The sequence below is a fragment of the Homo sapiens genome, chromosome 17 (assembly GCF_000001405.40).
Source record: "Homo sapiens chromosome 17, GRCh38.p14 Primary Assembly".
NCBI lineage: Eukaryota > Metazoa > Chordata > Mammalia > Primates > Hominidae > Homo > Homo sapiens.
Window position 1 is genome coordinate 61,451,993 of NC_000017.11, and position 13,995 is coordinate 61,465,987.

At 55.6% G+C, this 13,995-nt stretch overlaps 1 protein-coding gene and 1 long non-coding RNA gene across 6 annotated transcripts in view, besides 5 other annotated features; one reads left to right on the forward strand and one right to left on the reverse strand.

Moving 5' to 3' along the window:
• Positions 400–1,241: an enhancer, noted in NCBI's record as "H3K4me1 hESC enhancer chr17:59529753-59530594 (GRCh37/hg19 assembly coordinates)". NCBI's record gives its function as "activates a minimal SCP1, AML or CMV promoter by ChIP-STARR-seq in primed H9 embryonic stem cells {active_cell/tissue: H9 hESC(primed)}" and the evidence as "EXISTENCE:reporter gene assay evidence [ECO:0000049][PMID:30033119]".
• TBX4 (T-box transcription factor 4) overlaps positions 430–13,995 on the forward strand; it is a 32,689-nt gene continuing 19,123 nt past the window's right edge. For 2 of the 5 annotated variants that reach the window (XM_011525490.3, XM_011525491.3), the window contains exons 1-4: positions 3,121–3,323; positions 4,496–4,684; positions 5,545–5,639; positions 13,827–13,946. In XM_011525490.3, the coding sequence (XP_011523792.1) occupies positions 3,138–3,323; positions 4,496–4,684; positions 5,545–5,639; positions 13,827–13,946 (590 nt within the window). In that variant the 5' untranslated portion in view covers positions 3,121–3,137. Of the gene's footprint in view, positions 586–3,118; positions 3,324–4,495; positions 4,685–5,544; positions 5,640–13,826; positions 13,947–13,995 lie in introns of those variants that run through there. The other 3 variants (NM_001321120.2, XM_011525495.3, NM_018488.3) reach the window with 3 other exon arrangements.
• On the reverse strand, positions 1,250–8,850 carry LOC124904042 (uncharacterized). Its single transcript, XR_007065872.1, has 2 exons — positions 8,396–8,850; positions 1,250–6,255 (listed from the first exon to the last, which is right to left on the reverse strand). It is a non-coding gene; the product is annotated as an uncharacterized LOC124904042 (long non-coding RNA).
• Positions 2,042–2,923: an enhancer, noted in NCBI's record as "H3K27ac-H3K4me1 hESC enhancer chr17:59531395-59532276 (GRCh37/hg19 assembly coordinates)". NCBI's record gives its function as "activates a minimal SCP1, AML or CMV promoter by ChIP-STARR-seq in naive H9 embryonic stem cells {active_cell/tissue: H9 hESC(naive)}" and the evidence as "EXISTENCE:reporter gene assay evidence [ECO:0000049][PMID:30033119]".
• Positions 2,924–3,804: an enhancer, noted in NCBI's record as "H3K27ac-H3K4me1 hESC enhancer chr17:59532277-59533157 (GRCh37/hg19 assembly coordinates)". NCBI's record gives its function as "activates a minimal SCP1, AML or CMV promoter by ChIP-STARR-seq in primed H9 embryonic stem cells {active_cell/tissue: H9 hESC(primed)}" and the evidence as "EXISTENCE:reporter gene assay evidence [ECO:0000049][PMID:30033119]".
• Positions 10,463–11,125: an enhancer, noted in NCBI's record as "H3K4me1 hESC enhancer chr17:59539816-59540478 (GRCh37/hg19 assembly coordinates)". NCBI's record gives its function as "activates a minimal SCP1, AML or CMV promoter by ChIP-STARR-seq in naive H9 embryonic stem cells {active_cell/tissue: H9 hESC(naive)}" and the evidence as "EXISTENCE:reporter gene assay evidence [ECO:0000049][PMID:30033119]".
• Positions 11,789–12,450: an enhancer, noted in NCBI's record as "H3K4me1 hESC enhancer chr17:59541142-59541803 (GRCh37/hg19 assembly coordinates)". NCBI's record gives its function as "activates a minimal SCP1, AML or CMV promoter by ChIP-STARR-seq in naive H9 embryonic stem cells {active_cell/tissue: H9 hESC(naive)}" and the evidence as "EXISTENCE:reporter gene assay evidence [ECO:0000049][PMID:30033119]".

Below are 13,995 nucleotides of genomic sequence, written 5' to 3' on the forward strand. Positions count from 1 at the left end.
TGGAAGCGGGCGCCGGCAGGGGGTGGCCAGACCCGGTCGTGGAGCGTCCTAGTCTTCGGGCACGGCGGGGCCAGGCGAGCCCTCCTGGTTGTCGAGCCTCGGCTGAGAGCCGGGCTGCTCGCCCTTGCTTCCCGCCTCTCTAATCTAAACCATGCGGGGCTCCCAGCCCCTACCCGGCTCGCGGGGCCCGAGGGCCAAGAGGAGGGCACTGGGCCGCGCGGTGGAGGAGCCGGCGGCTCGCGTGGGGCTCGGGATCTTGGGGACCGCGACGCCGGGGAACCCTGGAGCCCCCCTCCCCGGGGGACAGCGGGCGCAGACTGATTGACAGCGGCGACGTCAGCGCGGAGGGGGGGCGGCCCCAGAGGGAGGGAGGGAGGAGGAGGGAATTGAGGCCCCAAAGTGCAGCCTTGGAGATCAAGGGCCCGCTCCAGAGCCGGGATGTGTCCAGCCCCGAGGGCACGGCAGGCAGCTGGACCCTGACCCAGCGGCGCGGAGTCGGAGCCCCGGCCGTCCCGCGCTCCTCGGACCCGAACCTGCAGGGGACCTCGGGCCGCTGGCGCCTCCGCATGCGGCACCGCAATTAGGGTGAGTGTGGGTTCCAGCCGAGTGGGGACGAGCTGGGCGTGCGGGGCTGGGGCCACAGGGGCTCAGGGTTAGGCTGCGGGGACGGACAGGAGGATGAGCTGGAAAGGGGTGAGTCACGCGACCCGGGGAAGAACTTCAGGGGCGGTCAAAGTTGCAGGAAGGCGGCGCGAAGTGCCTTGGGTCGGGCCGCCGCCTCGGCCCGACACCCAGTAGTTGGGGCACGAGCCCTCCTCTCTGAGTAACGCGATGAATTGGGTCTAGAGATCCAAGAGCATAGAAATATCGACAGCGCCAGCACCCTAAGAACAAGGCCGTGACAGGCGGAGCGGTGGCCTGGAAATTGGTGTTTGCAGAATATGCAAGGCCAAGGAAGAGGGCCCCGGTACTGGAGCGAAAATCCGTGTAGATATGTGAGTGATCAGAACACTAGACTCAGAGCCTTTGATGCAATAGACTAGTCAAAATTAAAGCAAGGAACATTATATATAAATAATGATCGATGATTAAAGATTATTGGAATGTGAACAATTACCAAAGAAAGGGCTAATCGGCATAACTGATATAACACGTGAACTTCCAAATAATACAATCATAGTCACTTTCAGAATCAAGTGAAAATAGTAATCACAATTTTTAAAAGGATTAAAGACAAAGTAATTCTAAATAGAGGAACAATGTAAGGACTGTTTATTAAAACCAATTGCACTAATATAACATATAGTAATAGTGTAACAAATTACCAAACTGTAGGAAACTAGCAAACGAACTGTAGGAGAAAGATGAACAATGAAAATACTATTAAGGGAAATACTATTAGTGGTAGTGATATAATAATATAATGTATTATTGATACTACAGTGAACTATTAAAAGAAATATTAACTAAAATCTTAGGAGCAATAGTAATATAAATAAAGACATATTAACAAGAATTGCTGGAGTAATATGACAATTTATGACCAATGTATTAATAGTCACAAGAACATTATAAATAATGGTTGAGTAATAAGAAGTATTGTACCAATGTGATGAAAAATAATCAGAGTATTAAGAGCTACAACAATATTACAAAGTATGACAAAATAACAAGAAGTAATGATGTGATGAGTAACTAGCGAGTTCAGATCTGTAACATTACAAATAATGACAAAGTAACAAGATACTGTCGGGGTGTGTTGAAGAATAATACCTGGAGTGTTATGAGCAAGCCTAACAAAACAAATTGTGGTTAGATAACAAGAAGTATTATAAGGATGTGAGGGAAATTAACATGAATTTTGAGAACAATTATATAACAAGTTATGGTAAACAAGAAGTTATTGAAACAGCGTGACAAAGTATAATCAAAATGAAGAGCAAGCAACGGAAACGTATTAGGGATACAAAGCAAGAATAAAAAATTACAATAGATTAACGTGACCTATTGTTCACTATGTCACCTCGATATTGGAAATAGTATTATGAATGTGCCAGGCGGCCCTGAAATGATGGAACAGTGACAGGAAAACAACAAATTTAGTAACAGTAAGCTAACGAATCAAAGCAGGGCTTTAACCATACAGTATTAAAGATACAAAGTAGTAATAATCCACGCGATAGGATATTCTCAAAGTTCCCGAACTGATCAAAATACTACTATGGTAATAAGGACAATTAAAATATTTTAAAAAGCACGAAATAGTAACAGTTCCCCTAGTGCAAGAAACATATCCCCAGTAACCTAAAAATGAAAAGAGAAATGCTGTCGTCTTTGGAAAACGAGGCAGCTGAAAGCAACAGACCCCATCGCAAAGGCAGCGGAGGTTGCGGGCCGCACCCGCGGAGGAGTGGATGTGAAGGACGAGAGCGGACCGCTATGCGGTGCTGAGTGCGGGACCCCGCGGTGCTGGCGGCGGCCGAGCGCGCCCAAGCTCGAGGTCCGAGAGGACCGCGAGGACGGCCGCCCCGGGCCAGCCGGGCGTGGAAAAAAGGAAATTGCTGGGAAGGGGGCAAGCTGTCCCGAGGTCTGGATGTGGCTTCGTGGCGGAGAGAAAAGGAAGAGGCAAACCCTGAGCCCGGGAGGGAGAGCACTGAGCAGGCCTCGTCCCCAGTCCGAGCTGCGGGACCGGCGTCAGTGGACGCGGGCGGTGAACCAGCTCCTCACAGGGCAGGGCTGAGCGCGTAGGACTGAGAGCGCAGGGCGCGAGCCGCAGGGCTCCGCTGCACGGCTCCGGGTGTGACAAGAGCCCAGCAGAGGACCCCATGGCCATGCGGGCCAAGCGCGAGACGGCCCCTCCTTGCGACCCCGCAGGCCGCCACATCTGGGACCAGCGGATCGCTTGGTCGCTGGAGCCGATCCCGCCGGGGCCCTAGATATAGTTGGACCCAGCGCGCTGGCCGGAGCGGGCAGCTACCCTACTGGCGCAGCGGCCCTGTGTGGGGACTCCTAGGTTTCCGAGGCTCGGCCCGCGTTCGCACGTGGCCCGAGGCGGGTGCTGGCGCTGGCCATGTCCAGCGAGTCTCACTCCCTGCAGGCTGTGGCCGAAGACTGGTCCGCCTGTCAACCTTATCTTTATGGGTTTTTCCCAACCCAGACTGGCCCCGGCCCCTTTTTATCTCCTGGGTTGCACTTGGCTTGTTTACTTTGCGAGGTCCTGGGAGTCGAAGTCTAAGCCCGGGATGAGGAGGCCTCTGAACAAGATGGGCGAGAGGCCTGAGCCCGGGGATGCTCCGGGAGGGCCCGGGGAGAGCGGGAAGAAGGTAGGAAGAGAAAGGCGGGGCATTCCGCCTCAAGAAGGGCCGTCAGACCTACAGAAAGCTCCGCTGGAGCGCCCAGGTCCAGCAGGATGGGGAAGAGCAGGGAGGTGGAAAGGGGAAGCGGAGCAAGCGGGGCACACCCTTAAGGGATGCGGGCAGGCTGGCCTCTCAGGCTGTGCTCTCATCCCGAGGCCCCAGGACCTGCTTCGGGCAGGGAGCAGGCACCTGAGTAGGCGAGGGAATCAGCCAAGACAGCCGAAGAAATGTAGCTGTGCCAGGCAGGGCTAAGCGGTTCCTGTGAATGGGCCCAGCCTGCTGGCCTGGTCCTTCACTGGGAAGGGTGTGGGTCTTTAGGCCCAAAGCAGAGCCCTGTGGCGCTAAAGTGTGCCTGAGTGAGCCTGTAGGTTCGAACTCGAGCACCAGGTAGGGGAGGCCTGGGCTGAGGGCAGAGCCTGGATCAGTCACCCAGGAGAGTGTGGCTGCTCAGGCTGGTGGGATGCTGTGTGAGGGGCTGTGTTTGGGTGTGAGGATGTCTGTGCCAGAACGGGAAGAGGATGTGTGTGGACGGGGAGTGTGTTGGAGTGAAAGCCTTTGGTTCAGGAAGTCTCTACCTCAGTGCTGTCTGAGGGGTTGGGTGAGGGCAGATGGGTGAGCTGGGCCTGAGGTCCTGAGGCCCTCTCTGCACACAGGTGTGGAGCTGCAGGAGCCTGGGCCCTGCCCTCCAGCCTGGCTCTCCTTTCCTGCATGGCCAGGAGGTGTCCTGGCTGTCCTGGGCCCACAGAGAGGCCTGGACCCCAGTTATTGGGGAACAGCCGAGAAGGCCCAGGCCTCAGGCTCCACCGGAGCTCAGTAGGAGTGAGGGACTCGGGGTGCAGCTGTGGCAATGCCGAGAGGGCGGTCCCTCCCCTAGACCTACTCATCACAGAACCCCACACCCAGGGGCAGGCAGACATTGAACTGCCGCAGACCCTCCCAGGTCCACAGCCTGAAGGGAGGAGGCGAGGGACCTGCCTTCCTTGCGGGTTCCCTCCTCCAGCTCAGGAGGGGGCGGGGTCCACGTGCTCCAGGGCTGCCTCCGCGCCCCGCACGAAGTCCCGGAATCGGCTGGAGAGGGCCAGGGGTCCTCTGGCGAGTGTGGACCTGGGCGAGTGACTCGTTGTGTGCTGTGCCCGCAGGAGATGCTGCAGGATAAGGGCCTGTCCGAGAGCGAGGAGGCCTTCCGGGCCCCGGGCCCAGCGCTCGGAGAGGCCAGCGCAGCCAACGCCCCCGAGCCCGCGCTGGCAGCGCCGGGCCTCAGCGGAGCCGCGCTAGGCAGCCCCCCGGGACCCGGGGCCGACGTCGTCGCCGCCGCCGCCGCGGAGCAGGTAGGGCTGCGCCAGCCGTCGGGTAGAAGTCGGGCGTCGGTCTGTCTGCGGGGCCGCCTGTGTCCGTCTTTCCGTCCGATTGTCGGCAGGACTCGCTTTCAGGAGGACCTGGCTGCATTCAGGACGGTCTGCCCGTTCGTTCTCCACTGGACATGGCTCGCTTTCTCTGCCTTTTGGGTCCTTCTCCACTTTGAGCCCTCGGGGCTACTCTGGGACAAGCAAGAGCTAGAGCTAGAGATAGAGGAGAGGGCGGTAAGAGAGAGGGAGACCCCCGTAGCATCTGAGCGAGCCTGGACCAAGTGTCCAGCTCCAACAACCCGTAGAGGGCCTGGGACCCAACGGCGAGGGGGCAGGAGGAGGCCACCCCGCCGGTGCGCACGGGAGCCGCTGCGGGGATCCGAGGCCTCTGGGACGTCGCCGAGGGCTTCACAGTGATAATCGGACGATCACAGCGCACGGGATGCCGCCTGGGGATCTGTGTGCACTATCTGCAGGCGCGCGCCTGGCCGAGGGTGCGTGCGCCTCTCCCTGTCTGTGTCTGCCCCGGGAGCCTGTGGCGATGGCCCGCCACAGAAATGTTCATGAGTGAGCAGGAGTGTCGTCTAACCTGCGCTGGCCACTATGTGTGTCCTCTGAGGGTTCCTCCGTAGGTGCAGCTTTAAAGGAGGAAGTTTTAGCCACCGATTAATTCTTTTATATTCACGAATAGTTCAAAATCGTTCTGTGAAACGAAATCTGGAGCCATGGGCTCCGGGCGGGCAGGGTTCCGCACAGCTCTTCGGGTCTGGTTCTTCTTTCCTCAGGCTCCGCGTGGAGCCCTGGGCCTGGCAGACACAAGTTTCTCTCCCTCCCATCCCCAGACCATCGAGAACATCAAGGTGGGGCTGCATGAGAAGGAGCTCTGGAAGAAGTTCCACGAGGCGGGCACCGAGATGATCATCACTAAGGCTGGCAGGTCAGCGCTGGGAGATTTACTTCCGGGGATGGCGGTGGGGAGCAAGGGGGGCCAGGGAGGTCCCTTAGAAGTCCTCTCGGCCCCGGCCTGGTGGCCTGTGGGAGGCCTCTCTGCCTCCTCGGGCGTCAGTGCCACCTCCCTTCGCAGCTTGGGACTGGGCCGCCAAAGCCCGCAGGGGGCCACCGCAGCCGCGCGGGCCTTGCGGGAAAGACCGAGGGGAGGGGCAGCGCTATGCAAATGAATCCAAACAGGGATCGCGACGCTCAAAAGTCCCAGCTCCAGCACTTTTGGCCCCCTGGGGGGCTGCTTTGCCCTCCTCTCTTTGAGGACCTGAGGAGGTTTCTCAGGAATGCATTGATTGGAGACCCAGAGATGCCTCTCAGCAGATGGGGAGAGGGAAATAGACTATGCTGTTCAGTTTTCATACATTTTCGTGAGTGACTCGAACCCCAAGTTTTTCATCCCAGGGGCGCCGCTCTTCTGTTTCCATCCCCATCTCTGGCCAACGGGAAAGCACTACGTTGGGCTCCGTGTGTGTTGTTGGGGGAGCGGCTCTCGGTGGCTGCCAGAAAAGGATGATTTATAAAGTGGAAACATCTTTAAAATGCGCTGGTGTCTGTGGGAGAGAACAGGGAGGAGAGGATGAGAGGAGGAAGACTCACGGCGGGGGTGGGGGTGAGTGAGAGATTCGCTGGGGCTGGTGGGGTGGGGGCAGGAGTGTGGAGGAGAACGGTTATCAGGTGAAGGTGGATTGCTGTAGACAGAGACGCTGGCAAGTTCAGGTTCAGGAACTCCCTCCCCACCCACTCTATCCCCTGCACATACACACACTTGATTTCTGTCCCTGAGGACAGATTAGGTGTGAAAATGTCCCTTTGCCTGGATGTGTCTCATAATTGGGATTTTGAAGGAATAAGATGATGAAGGCTCAAGTGCCAGGAATTTGGAGTCAGACCACGGTGGGTGAGGGCTGCAGTTCCAACTCAGCTACTTTCATCTGTGCAACCTCAGACAAGGTGCTTAATGGTCTCTGCTCCCTCCCCACTCCATCTGTAAAAGAACAGGTCTTGCCTCATACATTGTATGTAAAGCACCAAGTTCCTGTCACATGCAAGCACACAAGAAGTGCTAGCGAATAATATTAGCAATAATTAGAGAAGTGTCTGGCGTCCCACTCAGTATTTTCTTCTACTTTTTAGAGAACTCAGCTCTGCTGAACCACTTAGTGAATGATAGACTATTCAAAGGAAACAAAAAGCCGGCTGGTTTGCTGTGTGCAGCGTATGGGGTGCTGTGGTCCTTCCTCTCTGCTCCCTGGCAGGCCTTATAAAGTTTCCTTTCTTTTGTTGAGGGTGGAGGTCTGGGCACTTGGCCACCCTCAGGCCTTAGCCAGGGAGGTGGCATCACCACTCAGGGCCTCTATCAGGAGAGAAAGTAGGTTTAGTTTAGGGCTTGAGCTTGCTGTATTTTGGGGATGGAGATAGGGAAGGAAGACACATGAAGGGGCTGGCAGAGGGTGCGACATGGAGCAGGCATTGAGGACAGTGGAAGCCAGGTGTCACAGGCCCTGCCTCTTTCTGGCTGAGTGTACTTGGGCAAGTCACAGTCTCCTTGTAGCTCAGTGGTGTCAGGGAAATGGTGACCGTAGACCTATCTGCTGTCCCTTCCTTTTCTATCACTGTGAAACTCAAACCAGGGAATCACGTGGATGATGGTTGGTAAATGGATAATCCACTTGATCAAGTGCGAAGGGGAATGGGGCTATTTCTTGTGCCTGCTAGTGTGGAAAGAAGGTAAGAAAGAGAAAGGTTCAGAACTGCCATTTTTAGGCAGCAGAAATAACCTTGTCTCTTGAAAATAACTGGCCAGCATGTTCTCTGGGCATGTCTGGCCTTTGGCATTTTAAACAAAGGGCATTTTTGTTTGTTTGTTTTCCTCAGTAGTGTTTCCTGCATCTGCATGGGTCCTCCTCCTCCCTCTCCCAACACATACACTTATACACATACTTCCATAGGTGGCCAGCTTCAGGCAGATGTTTGTGCTTGATCCTAGTTGAGGCTTAGAGATGGACCTTAGGGAATTATGATAATATTTCTAAAATGGCTGTGATGATGTTGGCCAATTATGGATCCATCACAGCCTTTCACTTCTCTGGCAGAAAGTTATCCTTGCACTGGGTCTGGTTCTTAAGAAAATCACTAGTCTCATGCCCCCAACCCCTCACCCCTCACAGACCCCATTTCCTCCTTCATAGCTGCCCCCCTCCTTCAGCAACCACTGTATTGCTCTGATCTACGTTACTCAGGCTGTGGTTCTTCAACATCCTGTCCAGTGCCTCTCCCTGCTCCCCAAATTCTGTGTGCCTCTACTGGAACCCTTCTTGGTACACGTCCATTTGTCAGCCTGGGCCCTGCTGCTAAACCTGGAATCATAGCTTCCTAGATGGCTAGAGCTGGAGGAGAACCAAGAGAACGTAAACCAAACCCCAGAGAAGGGAAGTTAGGCAGTTACCAGGTCCACACAGGAAAACAGATGAGACACCCCACCCCCAGAACACAGCCCCTACTTTGATAAGTTCCCTTGATTGCTTTTTTACGGGGTCCTATTCAGTGTGGATTGTGGCTCTGCCCTAGAGACCCTGGCTGATTAGGGACACGATAACTGCCATCTGGCTGGGTAGGAGCAGGCCCTGGAAAAGGGGAGCCAGAATGTTCTCAAGCCAGGTTGAGTTCTCAGATCACAAGTTTCCTTCCTACCTTAGCCCTTTGGGTCCTTGAGAGTCTTGAAGGTTGACAGAGAGAAGAATCCCTTTCACTGGATAGTGACTTTGAACTGCCAAACAATTTGGCCTGGTGGATAAAATGCCAACCACAGTGGGAGCCACCAGTTTCTGAATACTCAGCGACCTCCATGTCAGGTGTGAAATGGGGGCCACAGCCCTCCGCAGCCCGTCTCAGTCTCTTGGGTCTCTGTGTCCAGAGGGTTCGTGCTGATAGCCGCAGACAGCAGATCCCTCTCTTGGCCTCCCCACATCCCTGCCAAGCTTGATACATGTGAGAAACTGCATTTTCTCCCAAACATAGATAAAAGTGAGCTCCACAAAAAAATTTAAATATAAACCTCCCCAAAATGAAAATTGCCTAACTGTCTCACTGCCCTACTCCTAGGTCAGGGTTTTGCCACCAGATAAATCTCCACTATCAGCCTTCATAGCCTGTTGAGTTCAATGTTGCTTGTGTTAGTGACAGTGAATTTGCGTTTGAAAAATGAACTACCGATGAGAACTCCTGTTGAACCTGTATTGTTTGTTATTCTGAGGCAAGGATTTGGCCCGGCTTAATCCGGGGCTTCAAAGCCAATTGCCCTCACTCTGTATACAGAGCGTCAGAGCCCAGTGGCGTGGATGATAAGAGAAGTAAGGGTTGAAGACACTGGGAAAGTGGGTTGGGGAGAGAGTGCTTTGATCTCTTTTTAAAGTATTTTCTGAAAGCAAAAGTCTATCAGAAGGAAGTGCCTTTAAAAAAAATCTAAGAGAAGCAACCGATCTTCCAAAACAACATCCATTCCACACACTCTCACCCCTGCCCCTCCCTCAGGGAAAAGATTTCTTAAATATGCTTTGGGTGAATTAGAAAACTGTGTGTGTATGCCTCTATGTATGTGTGTGAAACGTGGAAATCGATTTATTATCTTCAAAATCAGAACTCACTTGGCTACAGAAGGCTTGGTCTCAGTGTAGGTGGCACCAGCAGCCCCACTCCTAACCCCAGCCTTGGATGCTGGGCCCTGGCCTCTTCCCCGTACACCCAGGATTCCTCCTGAAAAGCCCCCACGGACATCAGGGTTGGAGAAACAAAGGGTTTTAAGGGGACCCCTGCCATTTCACTGCTGTAGGGTTCTTTTCAGACTCTGAGCTCCAAGGCGCCTGTGTATGTGTACACACATATATAATTTTTAACCTAAATGTATTGAAGTGGAACATTCCTACAGAAGAGTCCACAGGTCTTAAGGGTGCAGCTTTACAGACTTGCACAAAATAAACACACTCGTGTAACCTTCATCCAGATAAAGAAATAGATCATCACCACCACCGCCCCAGAATCCTTCTTGTGTGCCTGCCCAGTCAGAGCCATCCCCACCTTTGAAACCGCTCTCTAGACTTCTGACCCCTTCTGGCTGGTGTTCCCCTACATTAAGGGAGGGTCCGTGTAGCTGTTCCTGGAGTCCCCAGGGACCTCCGAGAAAGTCGGGGCTGCAGCGGGGTTGGGGCTTGGGGGACCCTCCAGGTGGAGAGAATCTAGGGGTATCCCCTAGTCTCTGTCCCTTTCCCCAGGAAAGGGGCTGAGAGTAAGCGCCTTGAATTTGGCCACCGCTTTGGCCGGGGAGCTCCCGCGGCTCTCGCAGCGCAGCTAGAACTTGCGTGTTCCCTCAGCAGTGAGTTCGCAGTTACGGGTTTGTTGCCAGAATTAAAAAAGCCCCAAACCCTTGCCCCGCGCCCCGCGCGCCTCCAACACCGAGAAACGTCCGAGGAAGCTTATCTTAGCAGTTCATTCTAAAGCCATTTCCGAGTATGAATAGATAAAGGCTCCAGCTCCGCACCCTTTCAGAGCCTGTTTCATGATCAGAGGAGAAGCCCCGGGCTTTCATCTCCTCCCGGGCCGGCGAGCAGGCGGCTTGTTTATTCCCCTGGCGGAGCCGTTTCCGCGTGTGCCGTGGGGAGGGCGGGGGAGCCCCCATCTGTCTGGGGGCGCGGGAGCCCGACGGCGCGAGGGGAACTGGGGGAGCATGGAGAGGGCGCTTGGGGCGCGGAGAGAAGGTGCGGGGCACGTGGAAAGCGTGCCGAGGGGCTGGGAAGAGGGAGGGACAGGAGGACGGGGTGGGAGCAGGGAGAGGGTAGGGGGCATAGGGAGAGGGTGCAGGGAGGGGAGAGGGGGAGCGCGCAAGGAGGGGGCTGGCTGGGGCGGACCCAGAGGTAGAGCGCAGAGTGCCCGGGACAGGCGGGCTTCACCGCCAGCGCTGGTGGCAGGGCCTGCGTGGACACAGGCGGCACACACAGTGTCTTCCTTCTTGGTCACCTCCCCCACCCCAACACACAAACAGGGAGGCGTTGCTTTCCACCGTAGGGTGTTGGTTTTCAGGTACATTCTATGTCATAAATCACAGAAACAATTTACATCTCACTCCATCATTTCAAACCTTTCATGAGAGAGGCAGAGCTCACAGGAAGTCACAGCTCCCAAACCCAGCCTGGCCTCTGTCGCCTGAGGCATGCCACGCTGGGGAACACCCCCAAGTCAGGCGTCTAGGCACCAACTTTAGTCCCTTCAAGAACCCAAGGGCAGATGCCCAAGGGGCCTTGAATTCTCCCCTCGACCTGGGCAGGAAGCCAATGGAGGGGACAGAGGGGGCCTCACTTTCACAGGCAGCCCTTTCCCAACGCTGGGTGGACCCTTCCTCCTTCTGGAGCCACCTAGGCAGGGAAACGGTAGTGCTTAGGGCCCCCCACCCCACCCCAGAGTGGGTTCTGCATGGCTCAGAAGCAGTCCCCCAACTAGACCCTGCCAAGACCTAGACATCTGTTGCATTGAAGGCAATGGAACTCCCTGAGGCAGTTCAGGCCACAGCAGAGGGCTTTTGAACTCCCCATTCAGACCAGACATCCTACGTCCCTGTCCCTCGGCTTCTGAGCGCTGCTGCCTTAGGTAGAGGGGAATTGGTGGGCAGGGGAGGCGAGGCTGGGAGGTACTCCCCTTCCCTGTGCCGACGCCCACATCTCCTTATCAGTCAGGAATCTGGCCTACGATCAGCTTCCAGCAGGGGCCAGGTCCCAAGACACCAGCTGGGGCTGCAGAGAACAGGCTCCTCAAAGGCCTTCCAGAAAGCACTTAGTTAGTGTCAGCCTGGCCCCCTGGGCTGTGGAAATGAAGCCCAGCAGGGAGAAGGAGAGGGGAAGGCCAGGGCCCCTTAGCCTCCTCTCAGCCTAGGCTATGACGCGTGCCAAAGTGGCAGTGAGCCCTTCGCTCCTGGCCCCCTATGTGGACACTGGCCCTGGAGGGAAGCCATGGCTGCCCTCTGCTGTTGCCACCTGGAATGATGACAGGAAACAAGCTGAGTGCAGGCCCCCGGTGCCAGGCCAGCCCAAGTATGGCCAGGGCTGCCCCATTTTGTGGCTGTTTCTGTGGCAGTTACAAAATGGTGGCCTGCAGGGGGCGGGATTCTTGGCCTTACCCCAGGGAAGGGGGAGGTGAGGCAGCTGCTGCCCTCCCTGCTTCAGCTGTTGGCCCACCAGGAGAGAGGCAGGGCCGGGAAAGGGTGGTGCAAGATCCAGCTGCGCCCCCAGGCCCCATAGGGGGGCTGGTAAGCAGGAGGCAGGGTTGGGTTCCTGAGCCCCTCACTTCCCCCATTCCTGGAGAGGGGGTGGGGTGGGTATTTGAAAATGCTTTCAATTGACATCTGAGACAAATTCTTCCACAAGGTTTATAAGTCCCTAGACTTGCAGCTAGAACTTCCCTCCTCCCTCCAGGCACGCACACATCCACACATGCGCACTTGCACACCGCTCACATGCGCCTGGGCACACACACCCCACATCCCCACGTCCCCGCCCTGCAGTGCTTGCACAGGCCTCTCCTCCAGCAAGAGAGGGGCACAGGCGGGGCTGGGTGGGGCGTGGGCTGGCAAGGAAGTGAACCCTCCACCTCGGTCGGGGTCCTCGCCTGGGCTTAGGGCCCGCCAGCTTATAGAGGCCTTGATCCTTTCTGGAAGCCCTGTTCTGTCCAGGTAAGCTGGTGCCCCTGGTGACAAAATAGGGGCCTCTGATCAGCTGTTTGTGGCATCTTGGACAGCTTCTCCAGGGTCCCGTACTGTCTTGGGTTAGTGAGAGGCAGAGAACCACCTGATGGTTGTCCCAGAGTGGACCAGCCGGGCAGTGGCACAGCTCAGTGGGGCTTAGTGTCTTCACTGTGTCTTCAGCTAGGTTTGGATCCTGTTTCTCTTGGGGAACACCTTTGTGGAAGATCAGCTGGGGTGGGGGATGGAGTCTGAGGAGGATCGTGGGAAGTTCCGTTCTTCCCTCTGGTGAAGTCAGGGACCTAGTGACTAGGGGAGGGAGCTGTGCCCAGAGCGTTTGTGTATGCGCTGTGCTGTTGTGTGTGCGTATGTGCTGAGGGGTGTGCGGAAGCCCCCTCTAGAATGTGCCTCGAACCTCAGGGCCCTTGACAGCCTCAGCATGGGCTGCAGGAAATGACAAACTTTCTGGGTTTTGGTGAATCCATTTTCACAGAAGTAGGTCATACCACTTCTCCATTTACTTTGCTGAGGGAGGAGTGCAGCAGGGGTCCGTGGTAATTCACGCAGCAATCTATGAGATAGGTGGTAATGTTATCCTCATTTTAGAGATAAGGAAACCAAGGCACAGAGAGGTTCAAGCAAGTTGCCTAAGGCTTATCAGTGGGGTCCAGGCTGTGACCATGGCAGGTGGTTTCAGAATCCATGCCCTCTCTTATCCATGAGGCTCCTGGACCGACTTTCCCCTGATACTCAGGGTGCACAGGTCCAGGTGAGGTGTTCACAGGGAGAAGTACCCCCGATAGACACACTGGAAGAACCCAAACCTAGCAGGGTTTTGGACAGCAGTCTCCTGTTTTCCTGCAAGCTGGTTTTAGGCCTAAGGATTTCCACAGAGGCATGACCCAGAGGAGGCAGCTCATTATTTATGGAAGCAGCTGACGGGGGTTTCCGTCCCCCTATAACTGCACCCCAGAACTTCACTTGTGTGTGGGCTGGCAAAGGACAGGAGGGAAATTAAGGCAGCAAGGTTGGCGTCAGAATCTGCTCCCACAATCCTGACTGGGGTCTCTGTGCTTCAGCTGCTCATGGGCACTAGCCCCAAGTCTTAGGGGATTATGGGGGAGGGGATAAGTGAATTTGGGAAATGGTGTAAACTCTCCTCCTAGACACAGACTGATAGCTGCAGGGGCTCAGAGACAGCAGCCAGTGCCACCTTTTCACTGTGCAGCTCGGGCAGAGGGGGAAGTGAGTTGTGCAGGTCACACAGCTGTGACCAATGCCAGGATCGCTGGCCAAAAGGGCAGCATCTGTTAGCGGCCTTCTGCCCCCTTGCTCACTCTGTTCCATCTCTCCTGGTGCTCTGTCCACACGCTCCGCCTCACCCCTCGGCTCCCCCAGGAGGATGTTCCCCAGCTACAAGGTAAAAGTCACAGGCATGAACCCCAAGACCAAGTATATCCTGCTGATTGACATTGTCCCTGCCGATGACCATCGCTACAAGTTCTGTGACAACAAATGGTAAGTGGACCCTGACCGCATCACCCACGTTCCCTCAACTGCCCACTTG